Raw genomic sequence first — 21920 nt, forward strand, 5'->3', positions numbered from 1 at the left:
GCTCAATTAGGATGAACCCAGGCACTTAGCTGTGCAGGAACAATGGCAAGACTTTAACCCGATGGGGAGCGACAGTGGGCGCCTCGCTGAATCAGGAGCACAGCAGGCACCCTGCTGGATCCTGAGGGATGGAAGTCAGCGGAGGGTCTGTGACGGCGGCAAAACAGCAGTGGTGGACAGCGAGTGAAAGCTCAGCTCAAGCCGTAATAAACACGGACCAGAAGAGTGCAGTTGCAAGATTTAATAGAGTGAAATAGAGTGAAAACAGAGCTCCTGTACGAGGAGGGGACCCCAAGGGGGTTGCCTTTGCTGGCTCCAGTGCCTGGGTTTATATCCCGATCCTTGTCCCTCCCACTGTGCTCTCAGGCAATAGATGATTGGCTATTTCTTTACCTCCTGTTTTTGCCAAATTAGCATTTAGTGAGCTCTCTGATTGGACAGCTGTGAGCTCAGTTGCAAGCCCCGTGTTTAAAGGTGGATGTGGTCACCTTCCCAGCTAGGCTTAGGGATTCTTAGTCAGCCTAGGAAATCCAGCTAGTCTTGTCTCTCACTAGCACAAACCATGTAGTTTAATTGCCAGGAGGTCTGTCATTAAACATGACAATGTTTAATAGGAGATTAGACTTCTCACTGAATGTGTTTGTTTCCCAGGAGCACTGCCTTGCGAAAGGGAATTAATTCATCATTTCATCGCAGACCTGCTGTGTAAACATTTTCATCTCACCGCATAACAATGTCTCTGCTTTCACTTTGGCCCCGACATTCTATTCTGAACACAGCAGCCAAAGGGGCTGGTTAAAATGTTGGTCTGATCATGTCATTCCTTTGCTCATCACCCTGCAACTAATCCACATTTCATTCAGGGTAAGAGTCAAACTCCTGACAATGGCCCCGAAAGCCCCAAGTGATCAGTTCTTGTTACTTCTCTGAGTTCATCCTCTGTTAATCTCCCTTCACTTTCTCCATGACAGACACACTAGCCTCGTAGATGTTCTGTGGATTTGTTAGGAGTGTTCCTGCTGTGCTTTTCATAGATACACACAGTGACAATTCCTTTACCTCTTCTAAATCTTTTCTGAACTCTTACTTTTTCAATGGATGAATGTTTGATGACCCTATTTAAAATTGCAAATATCCAGCCTCCCAACACACATACACATACACATACACATACACACACACATACACACACACACACACACAGACATTCCAAGCATTTGTGGTCAACACTCTTACTGTGTTTCACTTGTTTTTTCCTTATGTCAGAGGCCTTTGAACCACAGCAACTCCATCTTGAGTAGGGGCTGGGTAAAATAAGGCCAAGACCTACGGGGCTGCATCCCCAGATAGGCATTCTAAGTCAGAAGATGAGATAGGAGGTCAGCACAAGATACAGGTCATAAAGACCTTGCTGATAAAACAGACTGCAGTAAAGAAGTCAGCCAAAACCCACCAAAACCAAGATGGCGAGGAGAGTGACCTCTGGTTGTCCTCACTGCTACACTTCCACCAGCGCTAGGACAGTTTACAAATGCCATGGCAAGATCAGGAAGTTACCCTATATGGTCTGTAAAGGGGAGGCATGAATAATCTGAATAATCTACCCCTTGTTTAGTATATAATCAAGAAAATAATATAAAAACAAGCAACCATCAGCCCTCAGGGCTGCTCTACTTATGGAGAAGCCATTCTTTTATTCCTTTACTTTCTTAGTAAACTTGCTTTCACTTTACTCTGTGGACTCACCACGAATTCTTTTTTGTGTGAAATCCAAGAACCCTCTGTTGGGGTCTGGATCAGGGCCCCTTTTCAGTAACACTTATCAATTATCACTTTTTTTAAAAAAATACATAATGGCTAGTTCCTATCTTACACTGTTAGAATGCAAGTTTCAGATATGCAAGGATATTTATCTCTCTTGTTCGTTGATGTATCCCAAACCCCTGGAAGAGGACCTAGTTAGATAGTAGCTTCTAAGTATTTTTTAATGAATATCTGACTGCACTGGGAATTATATAGCTGTTCATTTATATTGGACATCTGGTCATCCCTTGAATAGAAGTCAATGGGTTTTTTTGCTTATGCCCATACCATATTGTCTAGTAGTTGATTAAGATTATTTTCCCTAGAATATATTTCTCTTAAAAATATTTTCTCCTTCTAAATTACCAGCAACCAAATTAAGATGCTTCAAGTATTTTGCTAAAAAGATTTTAAAAGTAGGTCAATTAGAATAAATCCAAAGAATAGCATTTTTACTATAATGCACTGCCAGTTTCTTATATGGCACAAGTTTGCCAAATTATGCAAAAATATGTACACATGCTTTTAAAATATTTTGACAGATTAAAAACTACATAGTAAAACAACTGTAAAATGATTACAAAGAAAGCTTCATTTCATAAAAATGCTGTTTCTCTAATATATCAAATTTGAGATACATTGTTAATTCAATGCTCATAATTGAAAAAATTCTTACTTTTAGAAATGATCACTCCCTAGCGAGAAAGAATATATCTTATATTATTTTAAAAAAAGCAAAAAATGATGGCAAAAGTCAATTTGAACCCAGTTGAAGTAATCATTTAACTGATAAGTAATACTCTGTAAATATCTGTTTCTTCAGTTTCAGAAGAAACTTCAGTTGTTGATCTTCAATTCCTATGTTTTATATGAAAATATTTTGAAAAGAAAATAAGTGTTTTCCAACTGAGCATAATAAAGGAGGCTAAACATGATTATTCATAATTTGCAGTAATATACCTTTGACAGGCATGAAACATACATATGGATGAGAAAAGAGAGACCTCAATTTGTTTAGATTAGACCCATTTCAATCAGCAGGAGAAAACACATATAAGAATGGATGTGGTTTGTGAAACACTGTGTTAGAATCTCTCTGTTTATATTCTGAAGGATGCTAGTCATGTGAATGATTTTAAGCAGCAGAATATATAAATGCCAATCAAGTAAATCATTCACGAAGAGCCAAGGCATCGCTGAAAGAAAGATACCCCAGGGAATTGGAATGACCTTACTCTGCCAAACCAAAGCAGATTGAAAAGTTTAATGCCATGGACAGATTTTGACAGTGGTAATGGTATTGGTGTCCTTCGCTTGTTCCTACTCTGGGGAGTTATAACTTTAAAAGCTTTGATTTTTGTTTATCATGACAAGTTCTTCAAATATATAGCTCTTTGGACTCAATGGCTCTGCCATGCCCCATTTCTCTTCTGTAGGCCTGGAATCAACTATGAGAAAAGAACGCATAGCCATATATATTTTTCAAAGACATAATTTAAAACTATAATTGTACTTTGATCCTTACAGATACTATAAATTTATAGTGCTATAAATAGTTAATAACATCATGATGAGTATTAAATACTCTTATTTTACATAGATTTGGCTATTTTCTTTTACGATGTACTATGTCTGTGACTCCCTTAGGTCTGCTTTGTTAATGACATTAAAGGTAAGCTTTGAAAATCCATATTCCATTTCTAATAGCTTTCCTCTGGCACATGGGTACACCTGATCTAAAGGGTGACATCATCCTTTACTTTCTCAATCATCTTGATTTTCCTCAAACTCTGGTCAAAACACCACCATTAGATGGACACATTTTCCATTGTTTTTATAAGGTTCTTTTTCCTCTCAATACGTGTAACTGCCACATATAGCAACCGAAGGATGATAAGAGAATTTTCATGGCACCCAAGGTGAGAAGCTGAGGATTGTCAGAGAAAGGTGGAAGTGTTTATTTTTCTTTCTTTTCTCTTTGATTCACTGTAGTTCTGTACCGATATCATCTTTGTCCTAGCTGAGCATGCCTCCTAACTTTGTGGAATAATGTGCTATATGTTCATGTGCATAAAGATAATATGTATATTTATAATATGCATTAATTTGAATGAATCAAAATTAAAATTATGTGACTTTTTTCTCTCATGTCCCCTCTTCCGTTATTACACTACTAGTCCCCTCTAAACCCACTGACACTGTCCATTGTTCTGAATTTGATTCCAGAGTTAGAGCTCAATTCTCTGCCTAATATAGTATTTTCTGTTTACATAGTGATTGCTCATATATTTTGCTCTTGTCAGAAATCTTCGACGGACTTATGCTGCATAAAAGTGCTGAAGGAAGAAGTCATTTAATTTTAAAATAATTTGTTTACTATGCATTAGAGTCTAACAAAGACAGATGGATACACATTTATGGTAATAATGCTTATTTCTCTCATTTCCTTCTCATTGTATTAAAACTAAGAGCAAATAAGCACAATTCGGATTTTGTTTGTGTGATTTTTTACTTTTCAACTTCTTTCCATCCTGACTCTCCTTGCAGCTTTCACATATGGACACATATTATTTGTGTTGAACATGATTCAAATACTGTTTTGAGTTATGTTGTACAATGTCTGATATATGTCATATATAAAAATAAAGGGTCTAATATATTCCTTCAAAGAATAATCAAGGTAAGTAATGTGCGCATGGGGCACACACTGTTCAAATAAATACTACAAAGAGACAGCAGTCTTTGCTGTGAGGCACACATCTTCCCTAGTGACCTCCCCTTGACAATAACTACGCTCCACTAAGGATGAATAAGGATCATTTCTTTTTCTCTCAGATGAGAAAACAGTACAACTACACTAGATGCATTTATCTTTTGTCTTTGCAACTGTCTTTCTGCTTCTTTGTCCATCCAATCTCTGTTTCTCTAGTCTAATTCAGACCTGCTCATTTCCCTCTCCTCCTGTCTATGTCTGTCTTCCTGTCTCCCTCTCTCTCTGCCTTTCTGTCCTATTTTTGCCTCTCAATTTCTCTCTACTTTTGTTTTCTTTTGGTTTGTCTTTCTGTCTTTTTTTTTCACTTTATCCTCTTCTACTCATATTTATATATGCATATAAAGAGATACAGAATTTACACTTTATAAGTTGAACTCATTTCTGTTCTGCTCTCTTGCATAGTAAAATATCAATCACACTAACCTGCTTACTGAGCCAAAGTTCTTCCTTACAGTTGAGAAACCTTCTATGCATCTAAAAATGAACAGTCGTATCCATAACAGTGACAGCATGCATTTGATTTGCATAGTGCCTTTTCAGTCAAACTGTTATGCAGCCTAGTTAGACCTCTGACTTTGAGGATGCAGACAGAATTGTTTAACACAATGACCTTGACGAGCCTCACAGTAAAGTCTCATTCTGAGAAAATCACACTTGAAAGATAAAATAATTTACACCTAGCATTCTGGAGTATAATTACACCCATGATAGACATTACTTTTCAGGGCTGAATCTATGGCTACATTTTATCATGCAAGGGGAAAGAGAGAGATAGAAATGATTGTTTGTTGAATGCATATCACTGACTAAGCACAAAGCTAATTGATACATAATATCTCATTGTATTCTCTGTGTCACATGCTTATCCTTCTGAGTTACCTCTGTTTTATACATGAGAAAACCAGAGTTCTAAAATAGTACATTAACTTGTTTAAGGTCATAGATTTAGGAAGTGGTATTTTTGAGATTCCATCCTGAGCCATGTGTACTGAAAATATAGGTTCTATACTTGTTAATATATGTCTTCCATATATTCCTATGAGGGTCCTATTTCTTAAAGTTATATAACTTTACTGCTTATTAAAAATATGCCTAATTGAAATAAACCACTACAATTTTATTTGCCATTACAATCTTTGGATTAATTTTCCAAAAATCTAACACCTAGCAAATTGTGAAAGGGTGAAATGTGTAGTTGAATAACACACCTACAAAGGCAGAAAGCTGAATGTCCCTCAGAATAGTAGAAACAATTACTGGGGCTGTGGAGGGGGAACGATAATAGCCAGACCTGCTTCTCTTGAATATATTTTATTGAAGATATCAATATTCAAAGGCAAAAGATAATAATAATGATCAAAAACTTTAAGTTGTTCTGATTTTCTTGATGTATCTTCTAGGTGTGTTAGTTTGAGGGAATTGAATGTATTGAATAATTCAACTGACTTTTCACATTTCACATACTAACATTTCCTGAATACTTTTAAGGCAATTGTACTTCTTTGACATTTTTAAGGCTAACAACAATCCTAAATTGTAGATATAATTTACTGTAGTTAAATAAATCATTACCTGAAGCTGGGAGGGTTTGTTTTACGTTCACTTAGAGAAATGGCAATTCAAATGATGAGTTAACTTACATATAAGCTTCTTATATATAACTTATATATAAGCTTCTTATATATAAGTTATATATAAGCTTCTTTTTTACATTTTCAAATTCAGTGCTTTCCTCTAATTATCATTCTTCCCAGGCTACTTCTGAACTCACGTTTCTATGTCAAAGTAATATGTCTCAGTTAACATTGTACAATCTAACCTCTGGCAGCAGAATCACGAATTCACTGAATTTGGGAGCTGGTGCCACATTTTTTGTGATAATTATGATCTTAATAGTATGACTTTTTTCTAACTTCCAATTAGATTGAACTTTAAAATTAACATTTATCTTATTTTACTTATTTTGTCCATAGCTACTGTTAAGTAGAATTTTAATTAAGCAGCAGTTGGTAGCAGTTAGTTTCAAGTTGTTAGAATTCGTGATCATCTAAAACCCAAATGTTAGTAGATATATGCTTAAAAATAGGTGCTGTCAGAGGTCCACAAATACTTGGGTCTTTTTGCCAGTTTTAACAGTTAAAATTAGATATGCTTCCATGTTATTTGGAAAGAAACAATCCAAGAATATCTAGTCCAAGAACTTGCATGGTCCACTGAACAGCATCATTGACAAGGAATCAGGCCTTTGCTTCTATTCCTGGCCACATGCTGCAAAAGTCATTCAGATTTATCATGCAGATGACTGGCTTTGCATATCCCTATCATTATCACTAACGCTGAGATAACAATTCCCACTTACCACACAGGAATCTCTAATGATTAATTGGATAATGTTCGTTAAGTGCTCCCAGCTACTTAGAATAAATGTACTAGATGGCTATTAAGCATTGTTATTATAAGATGTTGCTTAGATGTAATACCAGTGACTGACTGCTCCATAGTTATGAGGAAAATTACTTCCTCTGATAATATGAGTGTAATACATATTGACTTAAAATATACATTCTTTGGCATACATTTAGACTTTCCAAATGAGCTAAGCAAAGGGCGGCCTTCTATATGGTTTGTTAGTTGCTCATTTAAGAGTGCATACTATCTGTGTGGCACTTTTATAAGCACTTCATCCTTACGATAATACTGAATGCCAATGATATATCCCCACTTTTTATAGGAAGGACACAGAAACATAAATGCCTTGGCTGAGGCCACACAGCTAGTAAGTGGTAGGGTCAGAACTTAATCCTTTTAAAACTGGCTTCAAACCACTCATGCTTAACCACTCCCTTAGACTGCATAGCTCCTATATTTACATTTGTATTGTGTTTATCCCTTTGCTCAAGAAAGTGGAAGTGTTTGGTTATATATCACCTGGAAAACTTGCTGATCTATCTTTTTAAAGACAAATTGTGCAAGGTTAATCCAGGAAGATCCCCTAGGGAAAATCAGTTAAGGAAGAATTGAGATATAAAGAAGGCAGGTGTAGGAGTGAGAAAGGTAACCTGAGTTCCTTGTCTATGTACAGGTGTCATCACTTCCTATTAATTGGGGAAGATATTTTAAGTTCATTGTGATTTTGAATTTAGATGCCTCCAATTTTTTGAAAATGCAGAAAACAAATTACAGAAATGCTATGTGAAGTTATAGCATCTGGGAAAAAGAACAAATATTTTCTTCTCTAATGTTTCATCAAGTGAAATGATTTGGGCTGTAAATAAAGTGCTAGTACAATATATTTTCAATGATAAAAGAAATTATCATCTCTCCAAACAAGACATCCAAGGCAAACTGACTTAATTTTAAATTCAGCACCTCAACAGCATCATCAAGGATCCACACTTTTTCCCTCTTTATTCACTATACTCCTCAGCATGTTACCTGAGCCTCTTATCTCCTCCTTGAAGATGACGGAAGCAGCTCCATCTACCAATTGACACACATCAGGATCTGCAAGAACGAGAACTCAATCTTCCTTGTTTCTCTCTTAAAGCCCCACAAGAAATCAGTTCCCTTGTATCTCATTGGCTGAAACTTTGTAGCATGTTTGTTCCTAAAACAAATAGCAAGAGGACTAAAAGGTTCATAGTTAGCTAAATTAGTCAAGATTCACTTCTTTCATCAGGAACTGGGAGGTCTCTTTCCTTAAATTCCATTGCTTTGTGAATGAATGTGGTTTTCGGAACATAAGTCATAGTCTCTAAACAGGGAAGAGGGATGTCTGTTGGGTAGATGACTGTATACTGTCTACTGTTACTCTTATATTTTATTGAATGCATTTCCTTTTTTCTCTATTTTTTAATATTTGCATGGTGAGAATGAATTCATTTAATTTATTTTAATTTTAAATCTATATTAATGCAAATTTTACATAGCAAAATGAAAGAAATTTTTAGTTCATTAGATGCTGTGTCATTGTATTGTACTGAATTTTCTCCTAATTTTGTAATTCTGAGGATGAACCACAACCCATCTTTTCTCAAACTCAAATACAGACATTACCCAAGACTCATTAATCAGAACCAATGACATTTTTGTCTGGTTTGTATTTTCTTCTAGATGTCAAATTGACATGTGAGGATTAACATATCCACAAAACAAACTTTATCAAACTAGGCTGTCCATTTCTACGTTCTGTCCTCCGTAATACATCATTTACATTTTGCTTTATTGATTTTCATTTAGCATAATACTTTTGGTAGTGGTGGTGGCCTGTGTGTACATGTATGTACATACATGTGCTAAATGTACACATTTAATTACATATATATGATTTGTTATATAATTATATAATTTATATAATTTAAATTTTATAATTATATAATTTATGTAATTATATAATATAATTTACATTTTATAAATCTAATATAATTTATATAATATAATTTATGAAATTTATATAATTATAATACATACACTTTTATATAATATAAATATTAATAAATATTAATAAATATTAAATAAATATTAATAAATATTTCAAATGCTTTAAAATATTTGAAATAACCTGTATATAGAATTAGACTTTAGATATCTAACCCTTATATAGGATTAGGCTTGGATATCCTGGACATCCAAATAGAATCCTATATACAGATTAGATATTCAAATATTTTGAAGAATTACTTCGATTTTTACAACCTTGGTTAACTCTTCCTTTCTATGAGATGGTATGATGTAATTTTTACTACTTTTATTATATTGTTTGTCTGCTGTGTGCTGTAGCTATTCATATACTAAAATTGTTACTCCTACCACATACACTGTGATAGTAAAAGCACAACTAACACTTACGTAATGTGTAATTTCCTTAGTATTTTCGATGTTACCATAATTTTTTGCAATACTAATTAGTATTTTATGATAAAGTACGCTTAAAGAAATGTGGAGAATCCTAGTCTAGAAAAAATAGTTGAGCCTGTAAAAGCTGATATGCCACATGCCACTCCAAGTGGAATGGAGATAGTATGCTGCATTTCCCAAACATGTTTGGCCAGGAATCACTTTTGGTTATACTCATAGAATTACTAGTATTCTGTGAAACACATTAGGTGAATATAAATATTGTGATTTGTAACGCATGCAATGCTTTACGAATAAATATCATTTCATTTTCACAAAACATTTGAAGTAAGTAGATCAATAATTGTTAGTATTCTCATTCTATAGATGACAAGGTTGATGTAAAAAATGTGGCACAAGATTCATTGGAAATTCAAAATAAAATGTCCTCAACTTCGACTAAATCCTGTGTTGTCTTCATTACACTAAACACATGCTTAAAGCTCTACTTCTCTTGTATTTCTTTCAGTACCTTGCACAGTACCTTGAACTTTGTAAATACTTCAAAAATAAAACTTGCTTCAAATTTCATCTAATTTAATAGTAAGTTAAAATTAAAGCAAAAACAGTAAGTATGACTATGTCCCTAATAGTTTGTCAACACATTGATATAACAAAATGGTTTGTTTAATCAGTTCAAGATCCAATGGCATTTCTAAAAGCTTTTCAAAACTGTAATTAAGTTTTGTTTTTTAACTAAACTGCAAGCCTAGAATTTAGTGAAAAATCAGGCAGAAATCATGAATTGGAAAATATGTCCTGACATAGCTTTAGGTAAGAAATGGAATGATTAATATAGACCGACCATAATGAATACAAATGGAGTTCTGCCTGTTCTATTAAGTGAACCACGGGAATCAGTCAATACCATTTATCTTGAGGACAAGTAAAGACTGAGTCAAAATACACTAAAAAGAGGGTATATTAATGTGGATTTCTAATTAACCGAATCCACCACACTCTGGTCACCAATGATAAAAAGTTGCAAATATGCTTTATATATGCACAACCATACAGATAACTAATGTCAACTCAATTTGCAAAGCTATAAATTTTAAAGAACTGTCTTTAAATTGTATTAATTTTGAAAGAAATTTTGCTGTGCCAGGAATATAAGACACTAACAACCATCTCAAGGCTCTAATGACTCTATATTATTTATTAGTCTTCCACATTAATGTTATTATTATAAATGTCCTATACCTACTTACCTAGAGTTAAATTAATATTTTAAAATAAATATTAATGAATTAAACTATGTATTAAATGCCTAATTATTTAGCACATACAAAAACCCTCATTCTCAATCAATTACATTTCAGATTTAAAGAAATGCTTTTACTTTGTGAATTGTCTCATAAATAAATTTAGTTCTTTCTTTTAGGTTTAATAGGGTTTCTAAACATGCCTGGTTTAACAGATTATCAGTATTTGTTACACATTGTGTGTAATAGCATTAATTTAGAAAATTTAATGTACAGACACATTTTTCTTCTTCACAAATAGTAAACCATCTATCCATGTCAGATGTAGAAAAAATTGTTTAAAGCAAAATATGGTAGCTTCTTCTGTGTCTATCAGGTTATTCTGTTAAATGCCAGAAGGACTCAGAAGTTCAGGATCAAACAGAAAGCTAATATAAATCTATTTGGAAAACTTGAGAATGAAAAAAAATATATGTATATATCTATAAATGTATTTCTTTGCCTATTTCCCAGGCTTGAGTTTTCCTAAGTATCAGAAGGAAATGTAAATTTTTTATAACCAAAATTAAGAAATATATGGTGTTAATTAAAAAGAATAGAAAATAAAATAATGCAGCTAAAGATTTATAGGTTGAATGGGACATGCCTGTAAAAGGAATCTGTATAGGTGGTATCTATGTAGGTCAACCTACAACAGAAAGCGTGAATGCTGATGGCAGAATGAAGTCTAATCAGGGTAAGGAGAGAAAATTCTAGATATCCCTGATGGCTCATCTCCTCCACCCTTTCAGTGACTTAGCAAGAAACTGGATCAGCTCACCTGAACTAGCGCAATAAATAGGACCAGAGGCTGAGCTCAGGAGCTTTCTCCTTTTAACTCGGCCACTTCCTAAACCAAGAAGCACCAATCATCACAGGGTTACTAGATGTTTATTTTCTTCCTTTCTCCACTCCTAAAAATGTGTAGATCATTATAGGGCTGGTATCTCCTTCCCGGAACCCTTTCTGTGCTGAATCCAGTCCAGCTCAATCTGCTTTAACACGTCTCTATGGATTATTGAGCAACTGGGCTCATTTGACTCGTCCTAGTTCTCAGTGTATACATTATCTTCAAACAAACTCTATCACATATATACACTTCGGGGTATTAGGGTGTGAATGTCCATATCATCCTTATAATCCAGGACAAACTTTGTATATCTGAATGCAGTGGCAAGATTTTCACTTTTCATATTTGAATGAAAGATTCAAAACCATGTAAACATGTAAATCCCTTCATTGTTTTGTTGCTTTGTTTCTTTTTTTGAAAGTCTGTCTCCAGATTAAGTTTAACTGATCAATATATAGTATCTTAATCCATGTGTTTTAGGAAACAGTCTTTCTGATACTTTAAATAGCTGTGTTCAGATGATCACGTTTGTTATATAACATTCTCTGCTCAATTATCTTCTATTTTGCTTTCTTCCTGCCTTCCTCACCTAAATAAGCCAGCAGCTTTGTTTCTCATACCAAATGCTAGGTGTCATCTTTTTATTCCTTCCTTATCTATTCCAATAGCAGAGTCTGGTTAGTTCTACCCCAAATGTCTTTTCAATACTTGCACTTGGTATCTCTCCATTATGAATACTGTATTCCAAGCTACTGTCACTTTCTGCCTAACTGCCACCCTATCTTGTCTCTCTGCTTCTGCTCTCCTACCAGTCAAACCAGATCTCTTCCACAGGGGAGTGGGAGTGATCATTTAATCAGATCATACCACTCTTCTGCTAGGAGCATATCCAAACTCAGAGCCCTCATAGAGTTGGGGCACTTTCTACCTCTTTCACTTCCTCCTGTATCACCTCTGACTTCCCTCACTATCCTGCAGCCCCATTTGCCTGCAATGCCCTTTCCCTCGATATCTTCATGCTTTGCCTCTTTGCTCATGCCTCAACCAAGCTGCCATATGATCAGACAAGCCACCCACACTACTGATTCACACACAGGCATATGCTCATATCTGCTACCCTCCAACCCTGCCTTTTATTGTAATCAATAGTATTTATGATAACCTGACATAATACGTATTTGTTTCTTGCTTCACTGAATGTAAATGGTATTATAAATGGCATGAAACAGGGATTTTGACTTCCTAGGTGGTTACTCTACCCTCAGTACTTAGCACGTTGCAGGTTCTGCAGAAATCCTGATTAATGGAAATGTTGACACAAATCCCATGATTATTTTATGGTGAAATCACAAATTTCCCTACCTATTTTTTTCATACAGAAGTCGCTTTGCTTTTTTCTCATTAGTTGTATTTATCTTCTAAATGAAATGAAAATATATTGCAGAAACAGGAGTAAGTTTCCTGTAATTTGGGTGTGGGAATCCCTCTGTAGAACTTAGTGCCTGAAAACCTTGCTTCACAGGGGAAGGAATAATGAATCTCATGTTTAAATTATGTAGCACAAGTAGATATAGTATCAACTTAAAAAATTTCACAAATTCTTTGAAAATCCAACTATTCAAAGAAAATCCATATTCAAGCACAGACTTTAATTTGGAGTTACCCTTCTATTGGATCTCTATATAGCTTTGAAACTGATTAAAGCTGGCTTTGATTTCCACATTTAGAAATTAATCACACATGGCTGGATCACGGCCATGGGGGCTGCTATTCTAGAGCAACCTCTCTCTGTGAGACTTGGAAAAATATGAGGAGAGCCACCCACCTATCACACCATCAAACACTTATATAGACACACAACTGAGAGAGGGGTTGCTTCATGTGTTCTTTTCTCTAAAAAAAATCCTCTGGACATTTCTCTCTTAGCTTCAACGACTCTGTTGGTTTTTAAGTAGATAGAGAGATGGTTTGACAAATTAAAAGGTAGCTAGCTTACTAAACATAGCATGGTGAACACTTAATTCCAATCATAAAATAACATTTTACTATGTTCAAATTGTGAAAAACAGACAATAGTAAATGAAGATATCACTACTGATGGTGAAAGAAACAGAAAGTAACATGATTGCTGTTGACTTCTCCAGCTGCATCTTCCCTCACTGGCATGTATCCACACCGTGTTTCAGGAATACCAAGATATTTATTATTTCCTAAATAGTCAAGGCTACCTCTCATCCCTTAGATCTAATTGGTCATGCCCCTCTGCCCAGCAGAATTTTAACACCTATCCTTTCTCATGCTAACTTCTATTTAGATTTCAGATTAGATCTCAAAGTTAAACTCCTTCAGATGTGGACTCAGCTCAAATACCATGGATACCAGAGATATCATTGACTTAATTATTCTTATGCTCATTAAAGCCTTCCTTGGGTTGTTGTGATAGATTATTGTGATGGGGATATCAGATATCCTCAAAATTATAAATACCTATGGTATTAATAGTAATATTTTTGCAGAAAATTTACTTTTGAATATCTATGTATTTCTAATTTGTAAAACCACTTTTCTGTTATAAACAATGAACATCTCTTTATGCAACAGAGTTTATTCATCAATCTTTGTGTCTTTTTCTGATTGTTTCTATTAATTAAACTCTTAGAAGCTGAAATTGCTAGATAAATGCTGTTAACATTTAACACATATTGGCAAGTTGCCATTCTGAAGAGTAACACCAATTCATACTCTTACCAATAGTCCTCAGGGTACCCTTTTCCTCACATACTGTGAACTCTAGGTATTATCAATCTTTTTAACTTTGTAAAACTGAGAGTCAAATAAACTTGTTGTTTTGTGGTTCTACTATACCAAGAAAAGATATAATAGACATGAAAATGTTGGCATCTTTATGAGTCTGGAATTAAAGGAACTTTCCCTTTCTGCTTTCTAATTTGATTTAAGGAATATATTGCACTTTAATAACAAATGCACTAAAATGATTTGCATTTGAAAATCTCTTTAATATTTTAACTCTGAAAAGACAGACTTGCACAATGGTTAAGATTGTGAGGTGAGGACTCAAGTGGGTCTGAGTTCAAATTGAAGCATATGCACTTAAAATGCAGTTTTATCATCTGGAATACAAGGGTGATAATCCTTGCTCTTCTAGGATTAAAATGATCTCATAAATGTTGAGTACTGAAAGAAGTATTGGCACATAATAGGCAGTTAATAAATAGCAGTGAGGAGACTCCTGGTAAACATAGCATTTCAAACTTATGCATTCTTCCAAACAAAACAGAATTCATCTATGTACATGGACATGTATTTCTTATGAGGTTTTCTTCAATAGATAATGAATGTAAGAAAGCAAAATTAATTTGCTTGTGATTATTTGTGTTGTTATCAAATATGGGTTTATGACATACTATAGAGTATTCTTTGGAGGCAGGTTAATTGCTTTCATCCAATAAGAGGAGATTTAGTACTATAAATAGAAAATGCTTAAAGCTTTTCAGAATTTGTCTTAAAAGCAATTAAATTTAAGTTTAAACTATGATATTTTGCTCATTATCGTAAAGTTGGAAGATAAATTAAAAGTTTCAGAAGTTAATTATTTTAATACAAATCTAAAATTCAGTCATTATTCTTCTAAAATGCAATAAATTAAAAGATTATAACGGCTTGAAGATTACCTTAAGAACAACTTTTTAGCTGATGGTACATAGCTCCTGTGGGTCAGAATATGTTTTTAAAGTTTCTCAATTTGATCACATTAGCATTTGCACTGGATAAAAATGAGTGGTGCCACAGAATTAAGCAACGATTTCAGAAACAAATTCAAAATAAACTCACACTTAAGTAACTAAACAAATTGGCCTTCCATCTATTAATTTAGCACCTATAGAGTTCTAAAGTTGAGAGATTTAGGAAGGTACTAAGAGTGACAAATGTGTGTCATCTGCATCTTAAAAAATAAGAAACATTAATTCACCAAACAGAGTGGTATTACCAAGTAGAGGAAGCCACTAACACATGCAAATAGAGTGGGTAAATTCACGGTGACTTCAGAGTACTTGTGGTTGTTGTGTGGGAAGCCTAACATGGAAGATCATGAATCCAAGTCAGAAAGATAATTAAGGATGAATTATGTTAAGGAGATTAGATCTCATTAATTTCCCTCATTTATGAAGGAACTTGGACATTCTTAGAAATTTTCTCTCTGCAATAACATCTACTGCAAACATGGATCACATCATGAATGCCACAGGAAATAACCTAGATCATAAACCATTCGACTGCCTCATTTTGCTTTTTTTCCTACCTAACTCACCCTACAGCCACTCACTTTCCTCAGTCCTTTTAAATTTCAGCTCTGGTTTCATGAAATGACTTTGTTATCTACTTAGAGAAAACTGGACTTATTGATAGAGAACCAATTAATCTTTTCTTCCCACAACCTACAACAAACTCACCTAAGTCTACAGTGGCTTAATTTTTTTTTCCTTTTACAGTACATCAATCATCTATTTTTGTCTGTAAGACTATCCTTTTGCCAAAGTTTTCAATACTCAATACAAAAATCACAGTTTTTGATTTTTTTTTGTTTATTTTTTTATTTTTTATTTTTTATTTTTTGAGACGGAGTTTCACTTTGTCGCCCAAGCTGGAGTGCAGTGGGGCGATCTTAACTCACTGCAACCTCTGCCTCCCGGGTTTCAAGCGATTTTCCTGCCTTAGCCTCCGAGTAGCTGGGATTATAGGCATGCACCACAATGCCTGGCTAACTTTAGAGACGGGGTTTTGCCATGTTGGCCAGGCTGGTCTCGAACTCCTGACCTCAAGTGATCTGTCTGTCTCAGCCTCCCAAAGTGCTGGGATTATGGGCATGAGCCACCGTGCCCAGCCAGTTTTTGAATTTGAATGCCCATAGAGAATACACTGCAGTTACCCACAGAATCTATAATTGTTTATGACTTTATATCTAGTTGTCCTGCTTGTATTGAGTCACATTATTTGTTAGACATCAAAAGGCACATAATTTGGGGTACCTTGAATTACATTATCTCTTTGATGTATTTGACATTGACTACTTAACTAAATCCTTCCCCTGTGTATGCAAACCCCTTCACATTACTTACAAAAATAGACACACAGACCCTCTGTTGGACAGCAGATCATCCTCTCTTCTCCCTCACAAGCAAAATTATCAAGAAGCGTTGTATACCGTCTGAATCTCTGTTCATTTCTTTCTCTCCCACTAACATTTGCAACTGGCTCTAATTTCCCTTCAAATTCCTACTACTTGTGAAAGTTGTTGATAGGGTCACGTATAAAGTTCCATGTGAACAAATCTAATAAACATTAGTAAGCTTTTTTTTTGCATTCATATTCCTAGAGATACTTGATGACCCCCTTCACCTAGAAAGTCTTCCCTCTCCTTTATCACATAGAAGTCCCCTATTCTCCTCAGCATTCTTCCCCATCCTCCTTTACAGTCTCCTTAGACATCTCATCTTCTATGGAAACATAAAATACTGAAATTCTGAAAGACTCATCTTTGCCTTTTTTTCTTAGAGATCTATATTCTCTCCCTACATAAGCACATTTATGTCTAGAGTTGTATTGCTATTTTGTGCCAGTGTTCCCAATATTTATATTTCAATCTCGGGCTTATTTATATTTTTTTATTTCGAGATTCTTTTTAGTTTTATTCACATGCACTTAACAATTTCCAAATACTCTTTGGTGTTATGTTTTATGGCACATTTAATATAATGTACACAAAAGCAGACACTATCATCTTGCCCTGTTTCTTCCATCAATATCTGTCTTTTTTCTTGGCTCCTAATTTCAGGGAATGGTAATTTCCCTTTCTGCAAATTAGACATCTGGGAGTCATCCTTGATCTCTCTCTCTCTCTTTGATTCCTCTCTGCCCCATGCCATCCATATATGAGTACTTAAAATTTTTAATCACATATTAAGAAACTACTCCCAAATCATCCCGGAAGTCTTGCCACATCTCTCCATACTCACTACAATCTTTATATCCCAGGCTATCTTGATCTCTTTCTGGCAATATCTTCTACTCTGCTGCACTCCATGCACTCTGACTTTTTCAGTCTGTTTTCTAAGTATATCACTCCCCCACTCCATCTTTAAGCCCTATAATTAGTTTTCTTTGAATTTAGAATAAAGACTAGGTTTATAGTTTTTACGACCTGAACAATTAGTCACATTCTCTTATTTCTTCTCTCTGTTCAAATATACTGATCTTTCATTTCTTAAATTTTCCGAGCCTCTTCCTACTTAAGGAATTGTATTCACTTTGTTTCCCTTGTTTAGATTCCTTTTTTTCTAACCTAGCTTTTATCATTTTTCAGTTTGCAACTTAAAGTCTCCCTCTCTGACTTCCCAGGTTTCTCAATTCACCTCAATATATGCATTCCACATGTTGGTGTTGTAATTGTACCTTTGTTTGCTAAGTGATTTGATTACAGTCCATTTTACCTACCATAAGAGGATTGCATCAGTGTTACCATTGTTTGTTCAGCACCTAGTTTGGTAGATGTTTGTTTCTCCATAAATGCTCACCTAAAAGAATATTTTGCCTGTTAGAATGAGCTGTATTGAGGTAACTATGCAGGGTGGGAGCACAGTTAATTTTTGTTTTTAGAAATTTTACACAATAGGAAAATAAAAGGAAGAGATGGAGTGCAGGTGTTCTAAAAATAGGGAAATATTTTAGGAGGCTATATTAATAGCCCAAGATCCTGCCTGGACTGAAGATACTGAAGAAGGCACAGCAGTTGGGTTATAGATGAGAAAGTGCAACTGAGAGATACTTAGATTAATGTAGTGATTGTTTCTGACTGGCTGGGCTGGACCCAAGGTAAGAGAGGCCTCATGAGCAAATGATCAACACTATAAGTTCTAATGAGTTGTAGAACTTTCTCTACAACTGATTAGAGCTTATAGTGCCAATAAGAAGATAGCGATGAAGCATTTTATGGTGAATTCTCAGTTACATTTTCCAAAGGCTGAACTTTAGTTGTTTAGCATGGAGAAGTTTAGAAGAATAATAGAGATAAGTACTACATGGTGCTCAAAGAGAGAAGTGGACTGATGAAACAAATTTGACAGTCATTGGTACAAGTTGCAGATAAAGTTATGAATGTGGCTGGGAACACATAGAGACTGGCTTTGGCTCAACCACAGGAATAATCTTAGAAGGAGAATGAAAGAATTTGAGCCAAAGAAAATTAAAAAGAAATGGCTACATGGGTAGAAATAAAACAGCAAGAAATTTGGGAATAAAAACCAAGCGAAGTGAGAGACATTCAAGGAGAGACTGGTGAATCAAGATGAGGACTAAATAAAATATTGCTTATAATATTTGGTGATCAGAATTTCTTTTTAGGATTATCAAGTCTGTTGTTATTGGAGCTAGACAGGCAGCTATAAAGCCTGTTGTAAAGTGCATGGGACAGAAAAGAATCAGAAGTTATAGCACAGACTACTTTTAAAATATTTTTTTGAGTTGTAAAGTGCATGGGACAGAAAAGAATCAGAAGTTATAGCACAGACTACTTTTAAAATATTTTTTTCTTATAAAGAAGAAAGAACTATATGGTGGTAACCAGATAAGAAAGCACGTGGAAACGGGTGATTTCTTCTCGTGAAATTTAATGAAACCAAAAATTTTACCCTTAAAATACAGCATTTACTCTATTTCATGCAAGTCACTAAGAATTCTCCCTGACCTTGCCATAAGAAGGAAGGGGCAACTGTAGGTACTACTGCTAAGGATCAGCAGGGACAATCTCACTCATACCCACAGGACACAAGAAATCTTACGAGCTAAACAGAATTGACTGAAAGTCAAGTGCAATGTTAAAAAATCCCAGAAAGTCATAAGGCATTCTGCAAAGTCATTAAACTGAAAGGATAAAGAAAGCAGTGATACAGTCAGAAATATCCCCCCAAAGCAAGAGACTTGACAGTTAGAAAGGGTCCTTTCTACACAAAAATAACTAGAGTAGAGTCATTAATGGCCTATTTTTATTTTCTGTCCTAATATATGAAGAACGGCTAGTTTGCAAAGGAAGAATAAATACCCTAGTGATAAAAAAAAAAAAATTACAAAGTATGGAATTAGAGAAACCTGGGTCTGACCTTCCAGTTGTGTGGTTAAGGGTATGAATTTAGATAAGGCATGAAATGTTTCTTAACTCGGTTTTTTTTGTTACTTTATTAAATGGGCAATAATGGCTACTCTTAAGACTGTAGAGAGGACTAAGACAATAAATCCAAAGTTTTTGGCATGTAACACATGCCTAAGAGATAATAAAGTTATTCTTGATAGAGTCCTAGATTGGAAGTAGTGAGATGGGTTCATAAAATTGACCCTTGGTTTTTGAAACTAAAAATAGTTTTCCATTTCCAAAAAATATATATTGTGTAAATATCACTAGTAAAATGTATAACAACATTTTTTCCCCTGAGGCAAAGTTAAGGCAAAAGATAATTTCAGAGCCTTAAATATCTCTTGCCTAGAGCTCCTTCTTCATCCATTCCTCAACAACTATAGCGAGATCTGTCCTCTGTGTCTAAAATGTTCATAACTAGTAATTGTGAAACTAGTGGCCCAAAGCAAATGAAGAATAACTGCCTTGATATATGTATATGCACGACAATGAACACAGCAAATGCTGAGAAAGAAAGAATGGATTGGAACAGAGAAAAATAAATCCTCCTGAGAACTACATCTTCTTATTTAGAACTCCTGTCCTTACTTCACATGTGCAGAACCAGCTCAAAGTCTGGATGTAAGCCAGCCATGACCCTTACTCTGCTGTGAATATCATTCCCCCCAACAGTAGTCTCAGACTCTTCATTTCTCCATGTGGAAAATGTTGCCAAGTCACACAATGCCTAGTATACAGCACTAAAGTCATTTTTTTAAAAAACTTTTAAGTTCAAGGGTGAAAGTGCAGGTTTGTTATGTAGGTAAACTTCTGTCATGGGGGTTTGTTGTACAGATGACTTCATTGCCCAGATATTAAACCTAGTACACATTAGTTAATTTTCCTGATCCCCTCCCCTCTCCCACCCTACCCTCTCTGAAAGGCCCCAGTGTGTGTTGTTCCTCTCTATCCGTCCATGTGTTCTCATCATTTAGCTCCCACAGTTTATCTAAAGATGTGTGCTTATAAATCTTCCTTCTCCCTTCTACTTCTGGCAAATAAAACATTCTTTTTGTTCATCTGCAGAAAGAAACAGAGTCCTCCTTCTCTCTCTCTCTCTTTTTTTTTTTTTTTTGAGAAGGAGTTTCACTTTTGTTGCTCAGGCTGGCGTGCAGTGGTGCAATCTTGGCTCACTGCAATCTCTGCCTCCCAGGTTCAAGTGATTCTCCTGCCTCAGCCTCCCAAGTAGCTGGGATTACAGGTGTGCACCTCCATGCCTGGCTAATTTTTTTTATTTACAGTAGAGACAGGTTTCACCATGTTGGGCAGGCTGGTCTTTGATTCACATATCAAGGCATGTTACAAAACTATTTATGCAGAAATGGCACACGTGAGCTACTGGCATGTAACCTGAATCCTAAATTGGTTGGGAGAAATAGAAATTGTGTACCATAGAATCAAAGACTTTTACCTTGCCATTCACAGTGTGTCCCTTTTCATGTAGATGACATTATTTACTATTCATTGTCTCAAACACATTTCCGTGTATAAGTGAGAAAGTCCTAGTGCTTATTTGTCATAAGGTAAGGGAAGATGCTTCATGGGACAAAAGAAATCTGACAAAGCAGCAAGATTTTTAAATTTTCTATTGTGGTAGGAGTTTTACTGATTATCACTAAAATAGGGAATGAAGTGGGTTTTGGGAAATCAGTTCCATTTACATTTATTCCACAAAAAAAGATTTATATCTATATGCCACTCTTTCTTTGTGTATGCTAAGGCGTATGAAAGGAAGAAAATCCTCTGTGATTTGCATTAAGAACAGTAAAAAACAATATTGAAGGACTTCATCATAACCAGTAGGAGAACCTGGTCAAATTAAGCACATTTGTGATTCCCAGAACATTCTGAAGAGAAATACTTGAGTCATTCATTTGGTTCTAAGTACACCTGACAGAATTGCATCTGGGCATCTTCTCAGGGGAATCTCCTCTCCTTAAGTGCCCTTGAGTAAGATCTCTCTGCAGTTAAGTGCCTGACATTATTAAGAATCTTAATTTTGTACTGCCTTCTTGTATGTGCGGCATAAGATTTAGGCAAAAGTAACACTGCCTCTTTCAAAGTCAATTTGAAACACACATATATGAAGAATTTTTTAAAAAGTCAATA

The 21920-nt window shown here is 35.0% G+C and overlaps 1 protein-coding gene across 9 annotated transcripts in view; it reads right to left on the bottom strand.

Moving 5' to 3' along the window:
* CDH12 (cadherin 12) overlaps positions 1-21920 on the bottom strand; it is a 1102672-nt gene that overhangs the window by 413657 nt on the left and 667095 nt on the right. The window contains exon 6 of one of the 9 annotated variants that reach the window (XM_047416602.1): positions 8012-8080. The gene's annotated coding sequence lies outside the window, so the exon portion shown is untranslated. 9 annotated transcript variants of the gene reach the window in all.

Source organism: Homo sapiens, chromosome 5 (genome assembly GCF_000001405.40).
Source record: "Homo sapiens chromosome 5, GRCh38.p14 Primary Assembly".
Taxonomy (NCBI): Eukaryota; Metazoa; Chordata; class Mammalia; order Primates; family Hominidae; genus Homo; species Homo sapiens.